The sequence below is a fragment of the Homo sapiens genome, chromosome 13 (assembly GCF_000001405.40).
Source record: "Homo sapiens chromosome 13, GRCh38.p14 Primary Assembly".
NCBI classification, from domain to species: domain Eukaryota; kingdom Metazoa; phylum Chordata; class Mammalia; order Primates; family Hominidae; genus Homo; species Homo sapiens.
In genome coordinates this window covers 43,056,272-43,080,181 of record NC_000013.11, presented here as the reverse complement: position 1 = coordinate 43,080,181, position 23,910 = coordinate 43,056,272, and the positions used below count along the sequence as shown (strand labels likewise).

Genomic DNA, 23,910 nt, shown 5'->3' with positions numbered 1-23,910 from the left:
TAGTACTTGGGTGACAAAATAATCTATACAACAAACCCCTGTGACACAAGTTTATCTTTATAATAAACCTGCACGTGTAACCCTGAACCTAAAAGTTTAAAAAAGAAAAAAACTTCCAAAAAAAGAAATTCACATATATTATATAATTTAATCTTCACGGCAACTTTATGCAGTTAAAACTAATCTATTATCTCTATTTTACAGATGATTAAACTGGGGTCACCCATTTAATAGGTGTTAAACTGGTATTTGTACGCATATATACTTGATACCAGAGTCTGTGCTCTTAATCACTGAATTTTCCAAGTGAATTTTATACAGCTTTCAGTTCTATGGGATAAAACTTTATAAATATATATCTTAAGAGAATGTAAAAATACAGTCAACTCCTGTCTGTCCTAACAACGTAAGTGCCCTGCATAATATTAAAGGATATCCTCAAAAACCTTTGTACTTGGTTTTATAATGTTTTATACTCAGATTTCAAGATAATCAACAGGGTATTTTGGGAGGCCAATAAAAGTTCAGGAAAAATAACAATGCCATTCTGAATGATATTAAGCAAGAAATAGTTGGCAGTATAGCAAACTTCCTAATCTGACCCTCATGCTTAAAATCATTTCCTATTTTCTATTGTCTGGTAAGGAGAGATCTCATCTAAGAAGAGATGAGATCTCTTAAATAAAGCACCAAACTAAACTGGGCTCCTCCTCCCAACTCTTGTTTTTTCTGCTAGGTCATAAGAAATAATAAAATGTTTTGGCTTTTTAAAAAATCTTTAAATTTTAAAAAATTTACAAGATATCAAAACATTTTTGTCAATACAGGACTTTATTATCTAATTTGCTTAATTGTGTTGATTATATCATCAGAAGATTTGTTGTACATGACATACTGTAACCAATTCCCACAAAAACTTGAGAGTAGGCTCTAAGGGAACATATGGTAAACAAATGATTATCATAGGGGAAAATATTCTTAACATTAAATGTTAAATGATATCACACAGCAATTATATAATATCATTAATTTTCTCTCATATTGTCCAAAGTTAGACAATAAAAGGATACTAAGGTGAAACAAGCACAATAAATATGCTTGATGTCACACTGCAGAAGCAGAAAAGAACTATGAAACATATCCTGGATTATAATTAACAATATGATATCAAATTATAAAACTGAGTCTAGAGAGAATGTCACAAAAAAGGATATTTTGGTTAACTGAAACATCAGTATTCAAATATTATAGATCCTTGTTAAAGAATAAAGGTACTTCACAACTTTGCCTGTTTTTTTGTTTTGTTTTGTTTTGTTTTTTTAGGGGAGTGGGATACTTTTAGATTTGAGGCTTTAAAATATAAAAATTTGATATTTTCTCCTCTGCCACCTACTCATAATTTTAAGTCTAAGTATAACCTTATTGTAACGTTTTCTCTTTTTTAAAGACAAGCTTGGCCACACAACAAAACAATACTTATGCTGCACACCTACCTTACACCTAAAATAAGACCAGCTTCTCGCCTACTCATTTTCTGTTCAAATCCTCCTTTATAGTAGGATGAAAAGCTCTGTATAGGAAAGAAAGAGCAAGAAATCATTAGTTCCACGTATGAGGTGGCATGACCTCAATCTCATCATGTAGCTGCAGTGAGAGTAATGCATTTTACTAGAAGTCAACTCAAAATTATGGGGCGGGGGGAAGCACCAAACAATGAAACTTTTCAAGAAATTTTGACCAATATGAAGTCTTAAAAAATACTAACTTTTTTTCACTTTAAAACAGATTAATTTTTCTACACCAAGATACAACAGAAAGAACAAAACAGACTGGTAGAAGCAAAATGCTTGAACTTTTTCTAAGCTCTGTAGTACTTTTCTCATTGGATAACCTTGATGAAGTCATTTAATGTTGATATGGCAGACATCGTTTAGCCTACCACACTAGCCAACAGAGAATGGGGAGGAACTAATGAAGAGGGGAGTATGTCACACTAGCAGACAGGCAAGCCAAGAGAGGCTGGGAAGCTGGATTAAAAGGTTTCAATGCTGCTGGAGAGGCGTGAACAAGGAGAAAAGGAGGACTCGAGATATAATGGGAACCAGACTGTGGATGGCCTTGTAAACAATGGAAGGAATTTAGAATTTTAAGTGGGAGGAGAAGCCAGAGCACTGGAATAACAATCTAACTTCGATTTAATCTAACTGCCATGTAGAGAATAGAAAGGTGCAAGAGTAGAAGTAGCAGACCAGTTCAGAAAACATAACAATAATCCAGACAACAGATGATGATGGTATGAACTAAGGCGGTAGCAGAGGAGGTGATAAAAGTGGTTAGATTCTGGATGTATATTTAAAACAGAACTAACATTTCCTTGATGGATTGAATTTGGGATATGAGAAAAAGAAAAATTAAGAATGATGTTGAGGACACTGTTATGTGCTCATCAGATCCCCATCAGGCGTGAAGGACTTACTCCCCAGACACTGGGGCTGTGGCTGGCTGATAGCTCCCAGCTGTCAGACACTTTAGGAATTGCCTTGCCTAAAGGAAGTCAAGCTTATCCCACTTTGCAGGGCAGCCTGTATCTACTGACTGGTTGACATGGGATAGAAACATTGTATTTCTCTAGGGTTCAGTCCTTGGACTTCTTATATATATGCTCACTTCCTGGGTAATGTCATTTAATCCTATGACCCCTTGCCCCAACTTGGGATAACTACAATGAGCCATCCTTGCTTAGAGGTTATTGTGAGATTGGCTGAGGCTTTTGTAGGAATGCACTGAAGCCTAACTTGTCCTTCCCTTTCTTTCTGGAGTTGTTTATGCTAAGAGCACTCTTTAATAAAAGTATAGCTTGCTAATCTTTATCTCACTCTGCTTTCCAGAGAACCCAAGCTGTGCAAATGACTTCAAGGTTTCTGGCCTAAACTGCCAAATTGCCATTTAATGACTGAGGAAAGGAGCAGCTGTTTATTTGTTGTGAATAACAGACATGAGGAGAATGATTTCGGATATACTAAGTTTAAAATGTCTTAAATATCCAAGTGGAGAATGTCTGACTTAACATCAGACTTTACATTTGAGAGTCATTAGTGTACAGATAGCATTTAAAGCCATGAGACTGAAGTAAGATGGTTTAAAAATTAGAAGTCCAAGGAGTCTTCCCTAAAGACTGCAACACTTTGTGGTATAGAAATGGAGAGGAATCAGTCAAGGAGGCTGACAAGGCCTAGCAGTAAAGGAGGATGGTAACTACAAGTCAAGAGTGAGGAAATGAAAAATGGTTTCAAAGTTTCTAATAGGTAAAGTAAAATGAGAGCCACAAACTGACCTCTGGATTTAGCAAAGAGGACATCAAAAACTGAGAAGAGCTGCAGAAAGTGAGGTGAGCGTATGATTAGAGTGTATTTAAGACAGAATGGAAAGAAAGGAATGGAGACAGCAAGTAAAGACACTATTTTCAGTAGCTCTAAACAGAGAAACAGGATGTATAAACTTAGCTTTTAGGAGGAAACATACACATATATGATTACAGGCATTAAACGTTTCTAAGCATGAAACCATTTCCTTACAAAAGTAGGGAAAAATAGGTATGCTTACATGAAATAAAATCTGAAAGCATATAACTTTAAAGTTATTTTTAGCTGGTGGGATTATAATTTTTTCTTTGTTTTTAACTTCTAAATTTTCAACAATGAGCACAGGCTATTTATACAATTAAAGAAAGAAGAATACTAAAAGAAACTAAGGAAATGACTAGAGCTTAAAAAATGGGTTCTAGGGAGTCAGATCTGGCCATTTATATAAGCTATACTCTTTGAACAGCTTATTATAAATTTCTACTTGGTAATAAATAATTCCTGGCAATTAATTCATTCAATAAACACTTCAGCAATTGCTGTGTACCAGGCACTTTTCAAATGAGAGATCAAGGACTGTCCTTCATCACACAGATGCTAATCTATCAATGAATCAATACTGTGAGAATATAATATACTCTCCAAGTTTCAAGTAATTTATAATCCAGTAAAAAAACAAATAGTCCCCCACCCCTGACACAAGTTTTGAGGAGAGGAAGGATAATCAAATTGGGTTAAGCACACATACTAACCTGAACAAATTTTATATCTTTCTAAACATACATAGAGAGTATGCACATATATAAAGAGAGATAGAGAGAGAAATACAGATACAGATACAAATGGAAAGAAGTAAGGGGGCCGACTGTGGTGCCTCACGCCTGTAATCCCAGCACTTTGCGAGGCTGAGGCGGGCGGATCACCTCAGGTCAGTTAGAGACCAGCCTGGCCAACACAGTGAAACCCCGTCTCTACTAAAGATACAAAAACTTAGCTGGGTGTAGTGGTGCATGCCTGTAATCCCAGCTACTCTGGAGGCTGAGGCAGGAGAATCACTTGACCCTGGGAGGTGGAGGTTGCAGTGAGCTGTGAGTGCACAGCTGCACTCCAGCCTGGGCAATGGAGACAGACTGTCTCAAAAAACGAGGGACTTAGAGGAATAGGGGCTGGTTTTAAGGTTTCTTTCAGGAAACCAAAATTTTTACTAGATGCATACGTTACTCCCTAAATTAAAGGTAATTAGTTGATTTAGTCATAACAAAACAGAAGTATCACCAAATATTTGCTCCTACTTTTGTTTTTAAATCATGCCTGAACTACTACATAGAATAATTCTTTATTCAGGAAAAAAATATTTCAATGAGTCTTTATTTACCTTAGGGAGCTCTAAAATTTGGAGCCAGCATAATAAAAAAGATAAATTTATCATGTTTCATAAACTGTCATTCCCACTATAGTCACCAAGCTCATTAATCTTAAAAGCAGGTATTGGTATCTGAGCAATTTTTTCACTTTCAGTTTTGCCCAGGTAGACATAGAGTTTCAGAAAAGGCTGCCAAAAATCTAGTGTCGGGAAGAAGTTCATATGAACACTGATTTTATTACGAGTAAGTCAATCTGTATATACATATAATCAACACAACCCTTCCAAAAAGATCTAGACCATTTTGAGAATAGAGACTTAACATGTGGGGCTGGGTGCAGAAAAGTATACAAAGAGAAAACAAAAAATTGCTATGTTACACACTACTAAAATACATTCAACCCTCAGTATCTGTGGGTGACTGGTTCCAGGACCACTCATACTAAAATCTGCACTCAGGCACCACGGTCAGCCCTACAGAAACCACAGATACAAAAAGTTGGCCTCAGCATAGGTGAGTTTTGCATCCCATGAATACTACATTTTTGATCTACATTTCATTGCAGACATGGAGGGCTCATTGAGTTTATTTTTTAAAATCATGATTAAGTGGACCTGTGCAGTTCAAACCCAGGTTGTTCAAGGGTCAACTGTATTTACACATTTCTTCAGAGAAAATCATGCTTCCTAAACTTCTAGAAAATTTAGGTCTTATATAACTTTAAATAGAACAAAACTGTTATCACAGTATTTTAATCCATTATTATGTTTGAATTAATATCTATGTCATGAGAAAGCACAAAATTGTAACTCTGTACTCCTCCCCACTAATAAAACTGAAAGGTCCTTTTAAGCTTGAAAATAATATACCCACATTGCATTATATTAGGACTTACAGGTATAAGCCACTGCAGAACCATTTTCTGACAACACTGTGGTAGGTCAAAGAAAATGTTTAGATCCAAAAAATGAGATTACTGTAAGGAACAAGTATACCATCAAATAGATGGAGTAAATGGTCCTTTTTTTCTGAAAACAGAAACACATCCTGGACCTTACAAATGATTATTTTGTACTATCCCATTCATAAAATATTGTATATATAAATGACAGAAATCAAAATCATTTTCCTTCTAAAATTAGCAATAAATGCTATAGTGCCATGTTAGATTATTTTGTGTCTCCTTTGCTAAGTTAAACCAAAGTATTCATTAGCTAATTCATTCACTCAATAGCCTGAAACACAAAAGTCCTCCAGACAACTAGAGAAGAACTGGATCATCCCATAGTTTTAAAAGAATACATTTATCATAAACTATAAACTTTATTATGTACAATAATCTATTTGATTTAAAGCTAACAAAGGATGATTTAATTAGTATATTTTTCCATAAATTTCACTTGATCATAAAACAAAATAAATGCAATTTAAAAAATTATATTCAAATAAAAGGACAGATTCACAAATAGAAAATTCAAAGCCTCAAAAAAAAAAGAAGAAGGATGGGTTTTCTCCCCCAGAAAAAAATTTAAGGGTAATTAGACATTGGCTGAGTCAATAATATACATTAATACATTAATTTAAAAAAAAAACAAAAAAACAAGCAAAAGGGCACTTGTTCAAAAGAGCAGACTGAATCATAAAGATCTTTTGCTTTCCGAAGTGCCTTTGAAATGAGTAAAGACACTGTAAATTTTAAAACACCCTTAATAGGCCTAGAAAACAAGAAATGGGATAAATAGCAAACCAGAAAGTTTAAAGAAATCCTAGGTAAAATTTGCATGTACAGAAAAATCCCAGCAGCTTCAAACATCAGAGAAAAAAAGAAACCCTTTTCAGGAAAACAAGAACACTAAATTCAGAGTCAACAACAATAAAAAAATCAGCGAAACTTATTAAACCAGAACAATATAAACAGATCATTCCTACTCTACTCATATAGAGCATAAGAGGCCAGGTACCTGTCATGCCCTCAGGCTGAGAAAGAGAACCATATGCCTCTTTTTCTGATACGCATCTTATTTTGGGTGGTAGGTACTAAGAGAACCAAAGAGGCATACCAGCAGATCCCATTTCAGAACCCAGAAGCCTAGGGAGGTGAGAAGCTATGCCAAGGAGTAAAATATACACGGTGCTCAACCTCTCCTGGACTCTCCAGGTACCAATGCTGCCTTCTAGTCTCCTTGCTCTGAAAGACATGCCTGTTAACAAACCCACCTATGTTATTTACAGCCCACTGTCAACACTGTCATTCAATTAAGCTGTTGAAGCAACCCTACCAAACTGCTGAAGAAAAGTCAAGAACATTACTTCTATTAGTCAATTTAGTCATCATAAATATGAATCAACAACCAAGGATCACTGGACATTTGAGCAAACCCAATTATCATGGAGGGGAAAAAAAGAACCAATATGAACACATAACAACTGACTTTAGGAAAAGGAGATAAATTAGGAAGCAGAAGAGAATTTGGCCAAATGCTAATTAATGGCTTTAGAAATATTCAAAAGGATACCACATTAATTAAAAAATGGGTTGCCAGAAAAAAGAAACAAGAAAGAATCCTTGGAAGTTAGAAAATTACTAACGTTGGCCGGGCGCAGTGGCTCACGCCTATAATCCCAGCAATTTGGGAGGTTGAGGTGGGTGGATCACTTGAGGTCAGAAGCTCAAGACCAGCCTGGCCAACATGGTGAAACTCCATCTCCACTAAAAATACAAAAATTAGCTGGGAATAGTGACGAGTGCCTGCAATCCCAACTACTTAGGAAGCTGAGGTAGGAAAATCACTTAAACTCAGGAGGCAGAAGTTGCAGTGAGCCGAGATTGCGCAACCGCACTACTAGGCTCTGTCTCCAAAAAAAAAAAAAAAATGCTGATGTGAAGAATTCGGTGGATAGATGAAAAACAGAATAGACATTGCTAAAGGCCAACCTGGTGATCTGGAAAATAAGCTGTGAAAATACTGTAGAATGAAGAGCAAAGAAAGATAAGGAGATGGAAAATAAGAGATAAAATGGTAAGAGACATAGAGGACAGACATCTTTTTATCAGGTCCAACATCTTTCTCATCTCTCTGTTCAGAGTTCCAGAAGCAGAAAAGAGAGACAATGAAAGGAAGAAATAATAAAAGAAAAAACTGTAAGAAAATCTTACAGAACTAAAGACCATTTTCAAATAAGTTAGGGCTCACTAAGAATTCTTGTGAAATTCCAGAACATCAGTAAGAAAGAGAAAATCCTACAAACTTTCAGAGCTAAAAATAAAAGCCACCACCACCAAAATGTAAAACCCCAAAACCCAAACAACAAAAGAAAACCAAAACAATAGGTTGTCTACAATGGAATAAGAATAATAAGACCACCAAAAAATCTAGCTGTGAGTATGCAGGAATGCGGGAGTTCAGGCACTAAGGCTTAGTCTCAGCAGAGATTTCTATACTTCTCTAATGTTGGCTTCACCAGATTTCAAGGAGCTAGCAGCTGATAATTAACAGTGAGAACAAAAGAAACAAACTGTTTAACAAAGCAGAAAATACATTTACCATCCATGCATTCCATATAAAAGACTTATCCAAGGCACTATTTCAGCAAGATGAAAAAAAAGTATGAAAAAGAGATAAGATTGAAAAACAACATGTTAAAGCTTAGAGAAAGCAAATAAAGTTTAAAGAAACAAGGAAAAGAGACCCCCCGTTGAAACTTGAGCCTTGGACAATCTTTTTTGAATGACAGAGATTTAGTGACCCACAATTACAGTTCCTGTCTTTTTAGTAACCCTATTTGGTTCAATAATTAATAATATTTACAAAATCAAAACACTGTGTATACTGTGTTTATGAGGTGTGACACTGGGATTCATTAGTACCAACAGAAAGTATGCACATATTTCATTTCTCAGTTTCCCTGGAAATGATTACTAGTTTTAAAATTGTTTAAAAGTACTTGCATCTTTCCTGAGGTAAAAATATAATTATGATTATGACAATGATAAAGATATTCTAAGATGTTTTACTGCAAACTCTTAAGAGTAGCACTTTGTGAAAAAGAAGCCAGATTTATTGAAGGCGAAGTTTCTTACCTTGAGCCCCACAAAGAGGGAAAAGGGGGTACACACATCATTTCCCTTTAAGAAACGCAGGTACCAGGCTCAGACTCTTAAGTAAGGCTCCTCTGAGATGAGGGAGCAGGTCATATGAGCCACTGAATAAAGAGTTTACATGAGTATATCCCTTATAATCTCTTGAATTACCCGGCCTTATCTGTAAGCCTCTACCAACTACTGAAGATTTTCTCATTTTCTTGCTCTCTCTTCCTTTACAATGTTAAATAATGTAGTTTTGCACAGCTTGGTAATTTTCTATTTACACTATATTGAAGATCACCGTAACAGAAAAGAAACGATTTCTGAAATTCTTTCCATTTATTATTTATAAACATATGGAAATATATAAATAGAATTCATTTAAAGAACTATGTTACTGTGTCCATTGCTACTACTCTATTTCAAGCCACCATCATCTATCACCCGGACTATCTCAATACCCGCTTACTGGTTTCACAGCTTCTACTCTGGCTCTAAGGTAGCAAGCAGAGTGATAACTTAAAATACAAATCACATTGCCTCCATGCTCAAACCCTTCCAAGGGCTTTCTTTCACGCTTAAGGTAAAATTTGAAGTTTTTTTTCATTGTCTATTAGGCCCTAAGGGATCTGGGCCCAAGCTACCACTATTCCCTTCATATACTCCTTTGGAGTTACTCTTGCTGCTAGACTCATTTGCACCTCAGGACCTTTGCAGTGATCCCACCACCTAGGAAGCTCTTACACCAGAGGCTTGTATGGCCTGCTCCCTTATCTTCTTGGAGAAACCTTACCTGGCCTATCTAAGGTAAAGATTCCTCATTGCTGTTACTCTTTAACCTCTTACCCTGATTTGGTTTTCTCAAAAGCACTCGACACTTTTAGGTATTATATATCTTACTTCATTTTTTTTTTTTTACACTGTGTCTCTCCACTAACATGTAAGCTCCTAGACGGCAATGTCTTTGGTCCATAACTATATCCCACTGTCTATGGTAATGTAGTATGTAGTAGGTGCTCAAAGAATATTTACTGAATACCTACCAATATTTTAGCCAAATAAAATATAAATAGGAAAACAGAAAATACACCTATGTTCCCTCTAATCACAGACATGCATTTATAGGACTGTAAAATCACTTGCTGTTTTTTTGAATCTAAGTTTAATTATTTGTCAGTATGTCATCCTTTGGTGCTGTCATTATTCATGGCTAACTAAGCCTCACAAGCCTGTAATGTCTTTGCTAAAAGAAGCAATTCATTTTTTGTGACCTATACCATAATATAAAGATACTATACATAAACATTGAAAATTTCTGGTTTTATGATCATGAACTAGAACTTGATAAATTTAATAGCTGTGATAATGGTATTAACATGACATTCTGTCCTCCAATAAATTATAAATTTGGAAAAAATGACAGTCTTTCTGGTAAGTTTTGAAATATTTATTGAAATAACATATATAAAGTAGGTAGTTTAGTAGTTTTACATTTAGTAGTATTATATCAACTTTGACATAACTTACTTTCCCTGTTTAATTACTGTTCATTTATTTAATAAACATTTAGTGAGTCCCCATCCCTGTGCCAGGAACTCAGAATAGCAGAATAGCGGATGATCAACTTGGTTTGCAGCAATTTGACAATCTCAAGTCTCAACCAAGTTGATCTATCCCAGATCTGCTTCTGTTTCCCTGAAGCCAATGTTTACGCTGCAGGGCCTCACTGACTTTTCTTTATATTGTCTTCAGTGGTTACAAACTACAATCCATACTGTTGCTTTTACGGATACATACTCTCATTCATTTTTTCACTTACATTCAGCTCCCCAGAGTAGCTATAATGCTGGTACAAAAATGTATAATAAGTTCTACAGGATTTCATGGTTGAAATCTCATAATTTTATGTTTGAGATGGCCAGGCATGATGGTATAAGGGGACTAGTTTCAAATTACAAGATGGCATCAACTCTTGGATAAGCTTCATCAGGACAAGAACCATGTCTTCTTTGTTCATCAGCTATTCCAAGCTCCTGGCACAGGGATGGGGGACTCACTAAATGTTTATTGAATAAATGAACAGTAACTAAACGGGTAAAGTAAGTTACATCAAATTTGATGTAATACTACTAAACAGATTATAATAATTAGATGTCAAAACCAGGAATAAAGTTAGATATAAAAATAATGTGACCAATAACTTAAAAGAAACTGAGCCAGTAAATTAGACAAACTCACCAATGATATAGTGAAGGAAACAAACTTCTACAAACATTGGAAAATCCAAGACATTTTCTAAGTTAATTGAAATATGTCATATGAACAAAAATCAAAATGAGTCTTCTAACTAAAGCCACGTTTAACTTACAGGAGTTGAAATCTTCTTTGCAGTTTCTGTGATAACTTGTTCTAGAGGTTTCCAGATCCGAAATGCGTAGCGACCTAAATAGTAAAGGGAATAAAAGCAAATGTATTTTCTATAATCAAAATCAATCAACACCTTCAAAGTGCTTGCAACAGTATTTATTGATAGTTTATATATGTTATTGCAATAAGTATTTCAAAACTTACCAGAAAGATGGTCAATTTTTTCAAATTTTTAATTTATTGGAGGGCAAAATTTCATGTTAATACCATTATCATAGCCATTAAATTTATCAAGTTCTAGTTTATGATCATAAAACTAGAAATTTTCAATGTTTATGTGTAATATCTTACATTTATATTATGGTATAGGTCACAAAAAAAATAACATCCTAGTATTCTTTATACAACAAACTGTAAAGTCCTATTACATATAAAAGATACTTATAATACTAAAATGGTTAATTGTATTGCTTTTTATGATAATCACTTTGAAATATATAGAAAACAAATTATATTTATGATCTATACTACACAGAAATGGTTTTAATCAATTATCTCTAAAGTAAAAAAGCAATTACATATGAAATACTTACCAAGGATGTTAATTATCAATTTTTCTCACTGAGGATGGCTACTCTCTCTGAAAACTTATTTTTAGTTCTTTCCCTAGTTGGGAATCCCAATAATCAAAACTCCCCTGAGTTTTAACAACTAAGAGTCAATAGTAAAACAGGTTCTAAATTATTTTGAGGGCATCAAATAAGAGTAAAATATTATCTAGCTACTTTATCTTTTGCACCCCAATCAGATTGTGTCTTCTACTAGTATCTCTTTCTCCAAGAGTCTTGCTAGAAAACCAGTATATGACACTACAGGCTTTAATTCAACTTCTAACCATAAGCCTATTTGCAAATCAAGAGTTCTACTGCAAAAATTCAACTACCTATGTATACTGTTTTAGAAAAATTTACCTGCCTATGTATACTGTTATTCTGTGCAAACATGTTACAGTGAAAGACAGGATGCCAGAAATGGGAAAATGTGAAGATAAAAAGGTCTTGAGATAAAGGAGAACATTAAATAAAGTGAAATTAAATGAGGCTGATTCCCTAACTTGCCTGTATCTCTTATCACATAGATGTCATCTTCCATTTGATTTTATAATAGTATGAAATGTAGCTTTTATATTACCTCAAAATTCTTCAAAACCACAGTGACTGACTTCTAATCTCAGTTAAAAAGCAGTTAAATGCTTCAAGAAGTGACACCTGGAGGTTTACTCTAACTAGAAGACCTAGTTCTAACACATCTAAGTGTACTTTCTCCTAAATTCTATTATTTGGTTGTATTTGGCTCTGGAAGAGATCTTGTTGTTATTTAATATAATATTCTAGTCAGTAATACGAGTTTGGGAATGGTGTGGTCTATAAAGAATACACACACCAATTCTTGTCATTTTACAAAGACGACCCTGGAAAAAATACATCTTTATCTAATTTCAAATCAAAACCTTACATTTGAATTCATAACTATGCCTACTCTAATTAATACTAAAATTCCTTTATGTTTAGGGGCAAGTTTGTCAGAATTCTGTTTGAGACATGATATTCTTCTCATAAAACCTCAGAAATTCATTAAGTATAAGTTATATAACTGAGACATAAGACCTTGATGACAAAAACATCAAGAGAATCTGAACCACTGATCTAGATTTTAAAGTTCTGATTGTTGAAGTGTTTCATCATTTCCAAGACAAAAGGTTAAAATAGTGTTTTAAATGATAATTGTGAGAAAATAAATACCATACAAAACAAGACCCTCTTATTTCTCATTTTTCTATCAGATCTTACTAAACTCTATATAGCCAAAATGGAATGCAGCTCTGCCTAAAAGAGCCAATTAACAAGATCAAACCGATAGAACTTACAAACACAAATGCTAGAACAAAAAAGTAAATCTTTATCAATAAGGACATATTCTCAAATTAACATTTAATTAGGATATAGCTATGTAATTTAAAACTGCTGTAAGTTAATGACAGACTCAGCAAATTTACTTTAGATCTTCAGAACTATTCTTTCGAATGGGCCGGGCACGGTGGCTCACGCCTGTAATCCCAGCCCTTTAGGAGGCCGAGGTGGGTGGATCACGAGGTCAGGCGATCGAAACCATCCTGGCTAAATTTTGTATTTTTATACTAAAAATACAAAAAACATTAGCTGGGCATGGTGGCTGGCGCCTGTAGTCCCAGCTACTCGGGAGGCTGAGGCAGGAGAATGGCATGAACCCGGGAGGCGGAGCTTGAAGTGAGCAGAGATCGCCCCACTGCACTCCAGCCTGGGCAGAGCAAGACTCCGTCTCAAAAAAAAGAAAAACTAGCATTGTGCTGTGCTGAATAATGGCCTTCAAAGATGTCCATGTCCTAATCCTTGGAACCTGAGAATATGTTACCCTTATGTAATAAAACTGACTTTGCAGATGTGATTAGGTTCAGGATCTTGAGATGGGGAGATGATCCTTGATTATCCAGGTGGGCCCAGTGTAATCACAAAATCTTTTTAAGAGAGAAGGAGGAGAGTGACAGTCAGACAGAGGTTGGAAGATGCTAAGCTGTTGGCTTTGAAAATGGAGGAAGGGTCCATGAGCCAAGGATGAAGGCAAACTCTGTAGGCCAGGAAGGGTAAGGAAAGGGCTTCTCCCCAGAGCCTCTGGAAGGGGCACAGTCTTGCCCATTCCAAAAAAAAGAAAAAAAAAAGAACTATTCTTTCGAAAAACGTAATTTTAGCAGTGAAAAAAATTCCCCAGGGTTTATCAAGGTAATTATACCAATATGTTTAGAGACAAATCAATAAACTACACGGAACAACTATGCTCATGAGAAAGAACTGACAGCTTAAAATGTATAAACCTGTCTGCAAGAAAAAATAAATATGGGAGAATAAAGGCACTCCATGCCACTTACATTGCATAATATTAAAATTTCTTTTTATAGTATACTATACTTCAAACTGAAAAAAAATGCCAGGAATAAACTATTATTGGAGCTAGTTTTTCTGGCTTTTTATCACTAATTTTCTTCCCTATAAAGTTTATCTAGATTTTGCTACAATGACAAATGTTCAGTAACTACAAATGGTGGAAAGAATGAGAATGTATTATGTCTGAAAACCAAAACCTCAGAATACTAAGGGTCTACTCATGAATCACTGTAGATGCTATTTGGAAAGATTTCTCCTGCAATTTATTGGTATGTATTCTTTATCTTACCTGCAAATGCAAGAGCTGCAACACCCAGTCCTACAGCTATCAAACTTCTTACCTATGGAAGAAAAAATGAATATTACTTATGATGTAACATGCTGGGTTTTAAAAGTAAATCATTTTTAATAATGAGAATAATTACATTACAATACTACACTTTCTTTAAGCTCTACTGTGAAGATCAGGACTTAAAAAAATATGCAGTGTCTATGGGATTATATCTGCTGCTCACTGTATCAGCTAATTCTCAGTGAACTGATTCTAGATTTTCATTTAATTTCCATATATTTGAATCCACTCTAACCCAGAGCTTTTATACTACCTATTGCTATAATTTTTTCTATAGACGATTTTTAATAGGGGGTTTAATATATTTATCTTCTATAAAGATAAAAAGCACATATTTCCTCCTCCATATTTTACATTTGCAATGTTCAACAGCATTTGCTATACTTAAAAATTTCATGAAACCTTACATCAATGTTTAGGAAAGAAGTCAAGCTTCCAAACTTATCAAAAATGATAAAAAATTCAAAAGTTAAGGTCTACCTTCTAGACCAGTGTAAAAATTTTAAAATAAGGGTCCAAAATTCAGAATGTCAGATATAAGCTAATTCTGATGATAATTTATTTTAAATTGGCTATATACCCACAATATTCTGAGCTTTTCTCCTTAAACATCTCAGGAAACTATTAGTGTCACAATAACAAAAGATTTATGTGGCAAGGATCAATGGTAATCCTCAATATCCATTCTCTTTTTTTTTTTTTTTCAATATGATCAGGAATTCCTGTTTTTAGCTAGATATATTTTTCCAAGCCTCCCTTAGATTTAGGTATGGCTATGCTAACTAAGCGTTGGCACGTAAGATACAACCAGAGTAGTGTATGCAACTTCTGAGAAGTCCTACAGAGGGGTAAGGAGATGTCCTTCTCCATTTCTCCTTCCTGCTGGCTGGAATGCATACATTGCTGCTGGAGCAACCCTCTTGGATAAAGTAGGAAGAACAATGAGATGAAAAGACATTGGTTCCAGATGATCACAGAGCTGCCTTCCCATCCCTGAATTGCCTTTATTTATTAATACATGGGATAAAAATAAAAGTTCCATCTTCCTAAGCCACTATATTTTTGGGTTTTAGGCACTTGGAGCCAAAACAAATTCTAATGGATACAAAATTAAGAAGTGAAACCACAGAAACATTTTTGTCTGATAAATGGTGGGAGAGGCAAATCCTGAAGAGTCGGCAGAGACTTTTAAAACACTAGCATAATCTCCCTAGGGAACAGAATGAATAGACTTCTTCATTGGTGCAGACATAGTAAGATGGAGGCTGAGACTAAAGGGAGGCTAAAACCAAAAAGCCATTCAGCCATTGGCATTCAAGTTCTGTAGGGAAATATACACCAAGTCATAGGAAATCAAAGTCCCAACCTTCAAGGAATGACTCTATAATGAGAAACATCAGGTCAGCAAGGGCAGCCGCATGAAGGTGTTCTAACTTTAATATGCAAAAACTCTGAGAAATCTAGAGCCGGAGGACAAGAGGAAGGACTTTCCTCTAGGCTTCTCCCCTCATCAGTTCCAGTTTTAAGTCACACCTTTTCACAAGGCAATGACAGCAAGGCCATTTCAGTAAAAGAAGATTCATTCCCTGGCAGAGGAGCGAAAGCCTAGAGCTGCCTACCAGAGAGGCAAACTATCTTTGGGGTTCCTTTCAGGTTGTCTAGCCTGCCTGAAATAGGTTATTCCTGAATAGAAGACGTATTGATTTAAAGCAAATGTTCTGCTGAGGTATATTTTTGCCATTTTCTAGCGCTTCCCTGGTGCTACATATTTTGAGCTTTCTGGTGTTAGTCCAATCAAACTATTCAACTATTTAATATGTGAATTATATCTTCTTCCCTTATAATTTTGTTTATTCTTTCATCTCACTAGAAACACTCATCTTTGCCTACCCAAATCCTACCTGCTCTTAATACCTCAGCTTGAATCTCCCAGATGGCAGAAGTCATTTGCAACACATAGCTAATAGCACATATCCAAATATACACAGGCTTCCTCCAAATTAATAATAAAAAGACAACCAAATAGAAAACGGGCAAAAGACTAAGTCAGTGATTTCACAAAACACACACACAAAATTAAATGGCTAAAACATATGAAAAGGCGCTCAATTTCAAGAGTAACCAGAGAATACTAACAATAACAACAGAATGGTATAGAAATATTAATATCAGATTATAAAGATCTGTGGCCTTTGTGGAACTTGTTTTGTACAGTGATGCATCCCAACAGTATAGCAACAGTATTGACACGTTACAGGGTTATGTGAGGATAAAATATAAGAATACACGTAAAAGATTTAGCACAGTGACCTGGGACATGTCAAACAATCAGTAAATGTGAACTGCTTTTAATACTATCAATAAAAGCTGGACGCGGTGGCTCACGCCTGTAATCCCAACACTTTGGGAGGCCAAGACGGGCAGATCACCTGAGGTCAGAATTTCAAGACCAGCCTTGCCAACATGGTGAAACCCCGTCTCTATTAAAAATACAAAAATTAGCTGGGCATGGGAGCGTGTGCCTGTAATCCCAGCTACTCAGGAGGCTGAGGCATGAGAGTCACTTGAACCTGGAAGGTGGAGGTCGCAGTGAGCTGAGATTGTGCCACTGCACTCCAGCCTGGGCGACAGATGAGAGACTCTCTCAAAAAATAAAGGCTGGGTGTGGTGGCTCATGCCTGTAATCCCAGCACTTTGGGAAGCCGAGGTAGATGGATTACCTGAGGTCAGGAGTTTGCGACCAGCCTGGCCAACATGGTGAAACCCCGTATCTACTAAAAATATGAAAATTAGCCGGGCATGGTGGTGGGCTCCTGTAATCCCAGCTACTCAGGGGGCTGAGGCAGGAGAATCACTTGAACCCAGGAGGCGGAGGGTGCAGTGAGCCAAGACTGCACCATTGCACTCCAGCCTGGGCAACAAGAGCAAAACTCTGTCTCAAAAAAAAGAAAAGAAAAAAGAAAAATATAAAGTATTTAATTTTTTATAGATTAAGTATTGCAACATTTTTACTATTTCAACCATTCAAAAGATGAAATAGTTGCCTCCAAAATTTCAAAGAGATTTTTATTTCAAGTTTTGTATATAAGAAAACATTAAACCATCAGGCATTTGCTTGTTTTCCACTTTAACAATAAAAATTCAGTTTAATTCAACAAATAAGTATTGAGCACTCTGTTGATTATTTCCATTTGTCTCCCCCTAGACCCATTTTCTAGTTTTATCTGCCTTGCTCTGCATCTCTGCCTTGCCTTATTTCTAGGGATTCACTTGCCATTTAGCTTCTGGTTGGGTTTCACCAGTGAGAGGAAGCATCAGCAGAAAAAGAAAGAGTGGAAGGAAAGAGAAATAATGGCATAATTTATTCCCCATTTCTTACCTGCCTTGTTTCTTTTTTGGCCACAGCTCCTGTTGAGAAGGCTCCTCTTTCATGCCTACAACTCTCACTGAGTTCTGGAACATGATTTCTACCCTTGCCCTGTCACCTGGATGAATAACAGTTTCCAAGTGCTGCTAGTCCCTAAGTGATTCATCATCCTTTCTTGGTTATCTTAAACCATGGTCACACCTCTGAAAACAGTCCCTTCAATAAACTATCTTCAAAAAGAAAAAAAAAATCCACCTATTACTACCAGGATCCTCACTGATAAAATCATCACTACATACCAGTCACTGTATTGCATGTGAGAGACGGGGCATGCAACAGGGTAAAGTTGGCCCAAGGGTCTATATCATATGAGTCCTACATAGAAACTTGAACATGACAGGTAGGCTAATCTCCTAAATCTCTATGCTTATCTCCTAAAGATCTTGCTTTTTATCCTTATAGTTTAAACATTTGTCCACACTCACATCTCATGTGGAAATGTAATGAGGTGGGGCTTGGCAGGAGCTGCGTAGATCATGGGGGCAAATCCCTAATGAACGGCTTGGGCCATTCCCTTGGTGATAAGTGAGTTCTCGCTCTGAATACAAATGAGATTTGGTCATTGAAAAGTATGTGGCACCTCCCACCACACTCTCCCTCTCTTGTACTGCTTTCCGCCATTTGAAATGCCTGCTCCCACTTCACATATCCTGTACCACCATGATGTTATATGGGCAGAAAGAGGTTTCCTCACTATGCAAGGGTCCTCCATCATCAATGCCTCTTTAATAAAAACTCTTCTCAAAGCTGCTTTACTTCCAAAGGAAGCTGGAGTCATTCACTGCAAAGACCATCAAAAGGCATCAGATCCCATCGCTCAGGACAACGCTTATGCTGACAAGGTAGCTAAAAAAGCAGCCATCAAAAGGCATCAGATCCCATCGCTCAGGACAATGCTTATGCTGATAAGGTAACTAAAAAAGCAGCTAGCGTTCAAACTTCTATCCCTTTTCTCCTTCTCATCTGACCACTCCCACCCACTCCCCCACTGAAACTTCCACCTATCAATCTCTTCCCACACAAGGCAAATAGTTCTTGGACCAAGGAAAATATCCCCTTCCAGCCTCACAGGCCCATTCTATTCTGTCGTCATTTCATAACCTCTTCCATGTTAAGTTACAAGCCACTAGCCCGCCTCTTAGAACCTCTCATTTCCTTTCCATCGTGGAAATCTATCCTCAAGGAAATCACTTCTCAGCATTCCATCTGCTATTCTGCTACTCCTCAGGAATTTCTCAGGCCCCATCCCTTCCCTACACAACAAGCTCAGGGATTTGCCCCTGCCCAGGACTGGCAAATTGACTTTACTCACATGTCAGGAAACTAAAATACCTCTTGGTCTGGGTAGACACTTTCACTGGGTGGGTAGAGGCCTTTCCCACAGGATCTGAGAAGACCACCGCAGTCATTTCTTCCCTTCTGTCAGACATAATTCCTCAGTTTGGCCTTCCCACCTCTATACAGTCCAATAACAGACCGGCCTTTATTAGTCAAATCACCCAAGCTGTTTCTCAGGCTCTTGGTATTTAGTGGCTCCTGGTTTTACCTCAAACGTTTCTAATCCTTCTTCAACAAACAGTTGCTGGCTTTGCATTTCTCTTTCCTCCAAAATCACCAAGGCCTCGACTTACTGTTAAAGAGGACTCTGTATATTTTTTAATGAAGAGTGTTGTTTTTACCTAAATCAATCTGGCCTGGTATATGACAACATAAAAAACTCAAGGATAGAGCCCAAAAACTCGCCAACCAAGCAAACAATAACGTTGAACCCCCTTGGACACTCTCTGATTGGATGTCCTGGATACTCCCAATTCTTAGTCCTTTAATACCTATTTTCCTCCTTCTTTTATTCGGACCTTGTGTCTTTCGTTTACTTTCTCAGTTCATACAAAACCACATCCAGGCCATCACCAATAATTCTATATGACAAATGCTCCTTCTAACAACCCCACAATATTACCCCTTACCCCAAAATCTTTCTCCAGTTGAATCTCTCCAACTGTAGGTTCCCACGCCGCCCCTAATCCCGCTCGAATAGCCCTGAGAAACATCGCCCATTATCTCTCCATACCACCCCCAAAATTTTTCGCCGCTCCAACACTTCACTATTTTGTTTTGCTTTTCTTATTAATATAAGAAGACAGGAATGTCAGGTCCCTGAGCCCAAGCTAAGCCATCATATCCCTTGTGACCTGCACGTATACATCCAGATAGCCCGAAGCAACTGAAGATCCTCAAAAGAAGTGAAAATAGCCTTAACTGATGACATTCCATTGTGATTTGTTTCTGCCCCACCCTAACTGATCAGTGTACTTTGTAATCTCTCCCACCCTTAACAAGGTTCTTTGTGATTCTCCCCACCCTGCAGAATGCACTTTGTGAGATCCACCCCATGCCCGCGAAACATTGCTCCTAACTGCACCGCCTATCCCAAAACCTGTAAGAACTAATGATAATCCACCACCCTTTGCTGACTCTCTTTTCGGACTCAGCCCGCCTGCACCCAGGTGAAATAAACAGCCATGTTGCTCACACAAAGCCTGTTTGGTGGTCTCTTCACACGGACACGTGAGACACAAACATCACAAAAATCTGTATACAATTTGAGGGGATTCCGTGGGTTTTCCTGAAGTCCTTCAGCTCACAAGCTCCAACAGAAGAATCTTTCTTTAAAAAGAAAGATCCTGGGTGTGGTGGCTCTACTAAAAGTACAAAATTAGCCAGGCATGGTGGCGCACGCCCGTAATCCCAGCTACTCGGGAGGTTGAGACAGGAGAATCGCTTGAACCCGGGAAGCGGTGAGCCGAGATTGCGCCGTTGCACTCCAGCCTGGGCAACAAGAGCAAAACTCCGTCTCCAAAAAAAGAAAGAGAAGAAGAAATATAAATATATGAGCTCACTGAAGGATATCTCATTCAATCTTCAACTCCTAGAGCACATCAGAAGTTCTGTCACATATATTTTACTTTTTCATTCAATAATAATGTAATAAAAACTTGAGTTTTTAATAATAAAATTAATAGACTACTTCTAAAGACTTATTTTACAGAAGGAAAAACAAAGGCCTTGTAACCTTTAAAAACAACAAAAAGAAAAAAACGGTGGAGAGGAAGCTGGACTAACTTCCAGCTCCCACTCGGACGTGCAGAAACAGCATGTGGAGACTCACACCGTGAACTTTTGCTCCAAGAACTACTCCAGAAACATATCAGGAAAACCAAAAGAATTCACAGACCCTTTGAAAGCAGCAGCTTGCCATTGCAGACTCCATGAGACAGCAGAAAAACCGTTAAGTGCCCAAAGTGTGAGAGGGGGAGTCTGCCTCTGAACATGCATCCTCACTGGGGAACCTGAAAATCCAGGAAACAGTAGGATTTAACCTTACCTAGAGCTGAAGAGAGCTGAGCGAAAATTAAAAGTAGAAGCAACAGCAGGAAGAGCCCTATAAGCACTCCTGGTCCCCAGGGAAGCCATTTCTGACTTTATCTCACAGGGGTCCTTCGGGAGGGTTGCCACTGGAATTAGGGAAGGACCACAGGTAGAAGGAAAGTTCCAGATGAACTTTGTGATAATTTCAATTGAGCATGAATTTTCCTGGGAGGAATGGAGGAAGGGGTGGGAGAGGTTCAAACAGGAAGTGCAGATATGAACACAGAAGATGCAGCATGCAGGGAGCCTGAAAGCCATGCTTGCTTTCTCAGTGGGAGGCTTATAGCCTGGGGCAAATTCCCAGTGCTGAGAACCACACCCCCATACCCCACAGTGGCCACAGCAAGCCCTGCCCAAGGACAATCTGAGTCAGACAAGCCTCACCCTTCCCCAACCTGGTGATCCTTCTCTACACACTGCCGCCTTCCACCACCCACACCAACCCACCCCACAGCCAAAAACAAAGGACATAATCTCTTGGGAGCTCTATGTCCCCACCCATCAGCTGAGAAAACCAAATACTTATCCAGGTGATCTTAGGGCAAGCTTGTATCCCCCATACTGCTGCAGCTGATGCTCTCTTGAAAGCTCTACCTCCTGGCTAGAAGCCAACAAACTCAAGCCATTATAGCAACTCATAAAAGAACAACCACACTCTAAGAAAAAAGAAAACAGCTATTTCCACTGCCTGTAGCATCCTGGCTAACCAGAGGTCCTGAGTCTGTCCATGTAACAACTGTACTACTAGTACCCAGTATTCAAGAAAACCAACTCACTAAACAAAACTACAAAGAGTCCACTTCACTCCCATGCTACCTCCACTGGAGCAGGTGCTGGTATCTACAGCTGAGAGACTCAAACACAGATCACATCTGTGTTTGACTCTTTGCAGACACTCCCCAGTACTAGCCCAGAGCCCAGTAGCTCTGCTGGGTGGCTAGACCCAGAAGAGCAGTAACAATCACTGCAGTCTGGCTCTCCGGAAGCCCAATCCCTAGAGGAAGGGGGAGTGCACCACATCAAAGGATCACCCCATGGGACAAAAGGATCTGAACAGCAGCCTTTGAGCCCCAGATCTTTCCTCTGACGTAGTCTACCCAAACGAGAAAGAACCAGAAAAACAATTCTGGTAGTATGACAAAGCAAGGTTCTTTAACATCTCCAAAAGACCACACTAGCTCACCAGCAATGGATCCAAACCAAGAAGAAATCTCTAAATTGTCAGATAAAGATTTCAGAAGGTCGATTATTATGTTACTCAAGGAGGCACCAAAGAAAAGTGAAAACCAACTTAAAGAAATTTAAAATATAATACAGTATATGGATAAAAATATCCAGAGAAATAGATACCATAAAGAAAAAACAATCACAACTTCTGGAAATGAAAGACACACTTAGGAAATGCAAAATACACTGGAAAGTTACAACAGAATCGAACAAGTAGAAAAAAGAACTTCATAGCTCAAAGACAAGGCTTTCAAACTGACCCAAACTGACAAAGACAAAAAAGAATTTAAAAAAAGGAACAAAGCCTCCAAGAAGTTTGGGATTACGTTAAATGACATAACCTAAGAATAACTGGTGTCCCCGACAAAGAAGGGAAATCTAAAAGTTTAGAAAATGTATTTGAGAGACTAGTTGAGGAAAACCTCCCTGGCCTTGCTAGAGACCTAGACATCCAAATATAAGAAGCTCTAAGAACACCTGGAAAATTCATTGCAAAAAAATCATGTAGGCACAAACACAGGTTATCTAAAGTCAAGATGAAGGAAAGAATCTTAAGTGTTGTGAGGCAAAAATATCAGGTAATCTATAAAGGAAAACCTATCAGAGATTAACAGTAGATTTCTCAGCAGAAACCCTACGATCAAGAAGGAATCTGGGTCCTATATTTAGCCTCCTTAAACAAAACAATTTTCACATTCACATAATAAGATAAAGGGGTAGCAAAAGGTATTCCATGACAATGGACACCAAAAGCCAGCAGGAGTGGCTGTTCTTACAACAGACAAAACAGACTTCAAAGCAACAACAGTTAAAAAACACAAAGAGGGACATTATATAATAAAAAGATCAGTCCAACAGGAAAATACCACAATCCCAGATATATATGTACCTAACACTGGAGCTCCCAAATTTACTATTAGACCTAAGAAATGAGATAGATGGCAACACAATAACAGTGGGGGACTTCACTACTTCACTGACAGCACTAGACAGGTTATCAAGACAGAAAGTCAACAAAGAAACAGTGGACTTAAACTATACCCTAGAACAAATGGAATTAACAGATATTTATAGAACATTCTACCCAACAACTGCAAGAATATACATTCTATTCATCATAGAACATTCTCCAAGATAGACCACAAAATGAGTCTCAGCTGGGCACAGTGGTTCACACTGTAACCCCAGCACTTTGGGAAGCTGAGGCAGGTGGATCACCTGAGGTCAGGAGTTCAAAATCAGCCTGACCAACATGGTGAAACCATGTCTCTACTAAAAATACAAAATTAGCCAGGCGTGGTGGTGCATGCCTGTAGTCCC

The 23,910-nt window shown here is 37.5% G+C and overlaps 1 protein-coding gene across 1 annotated transcript in view, besides 2 other annotated features; it reads right to left on the bottom strand.

Moving 5' to 3' along the window:
* Positions 1–23,910, bottom strand: part of DNAJC15 (DnaJ heat shock protein family (Hsp40) member C15) — a 90,628-nt gene that overhangs the window by 34,032 nt on the left and 32,686 nt on the right. The window contains exons 2-4 of the mRNA NM_013238.3: positions 14,445–14,496; positions 11,179–11,252; positions 1,494–1,570 (exon numbers count right to left, since the gene is read on the bottom strand). Of these exons, the coding sequence (NP_037370.2) occupies positions 1,494–1,570; positions 11,179–11,252; positions 14,445–14,496 (203 nt within the window). The remainder of the gene's footprint in view (positions 1–1,493; positions 1,571–11,178; positions 11,253–14,444; positions 14,497–23,910) is intronic.
* Positions 18,364–18,883: an enhancer, noted in NCBI's record as "OCT4-NANOG-H3K27ac hESC enhancer chr13:43635435-43635954 (GRCh37/hg19 assembly coordinates)". NCBI's record gives its function as "activates a minimal SCP1, AML or CMV promoter by ChIP-STARR-seq in naive H9 embryonic stem cells {active_cell/tissue: H9 hESC(naive)}" and the evidence as "EXISTENCE:reporter gene assay evidence [ECO:0000049][PMID:30033119]".
* Positions 21,486–22,005: an enhancer, noted in NCBI's record as "NANOG-H3K27ac hESC enhancer chr13:43632313-43632832 (GRCh37/hg19 assembly coordinates)". NCBI's record gives its function as "activates a minimal SCP1, AML or CMV promoter by ChIP-STARR-seq in naive H9 embryonic stem cells {active_cell/tissue: H9 hESC(naive)}" and the evidence as "EXISTENCE:reporter gene assay evidence [ECO:0000049][PMID:30033119]".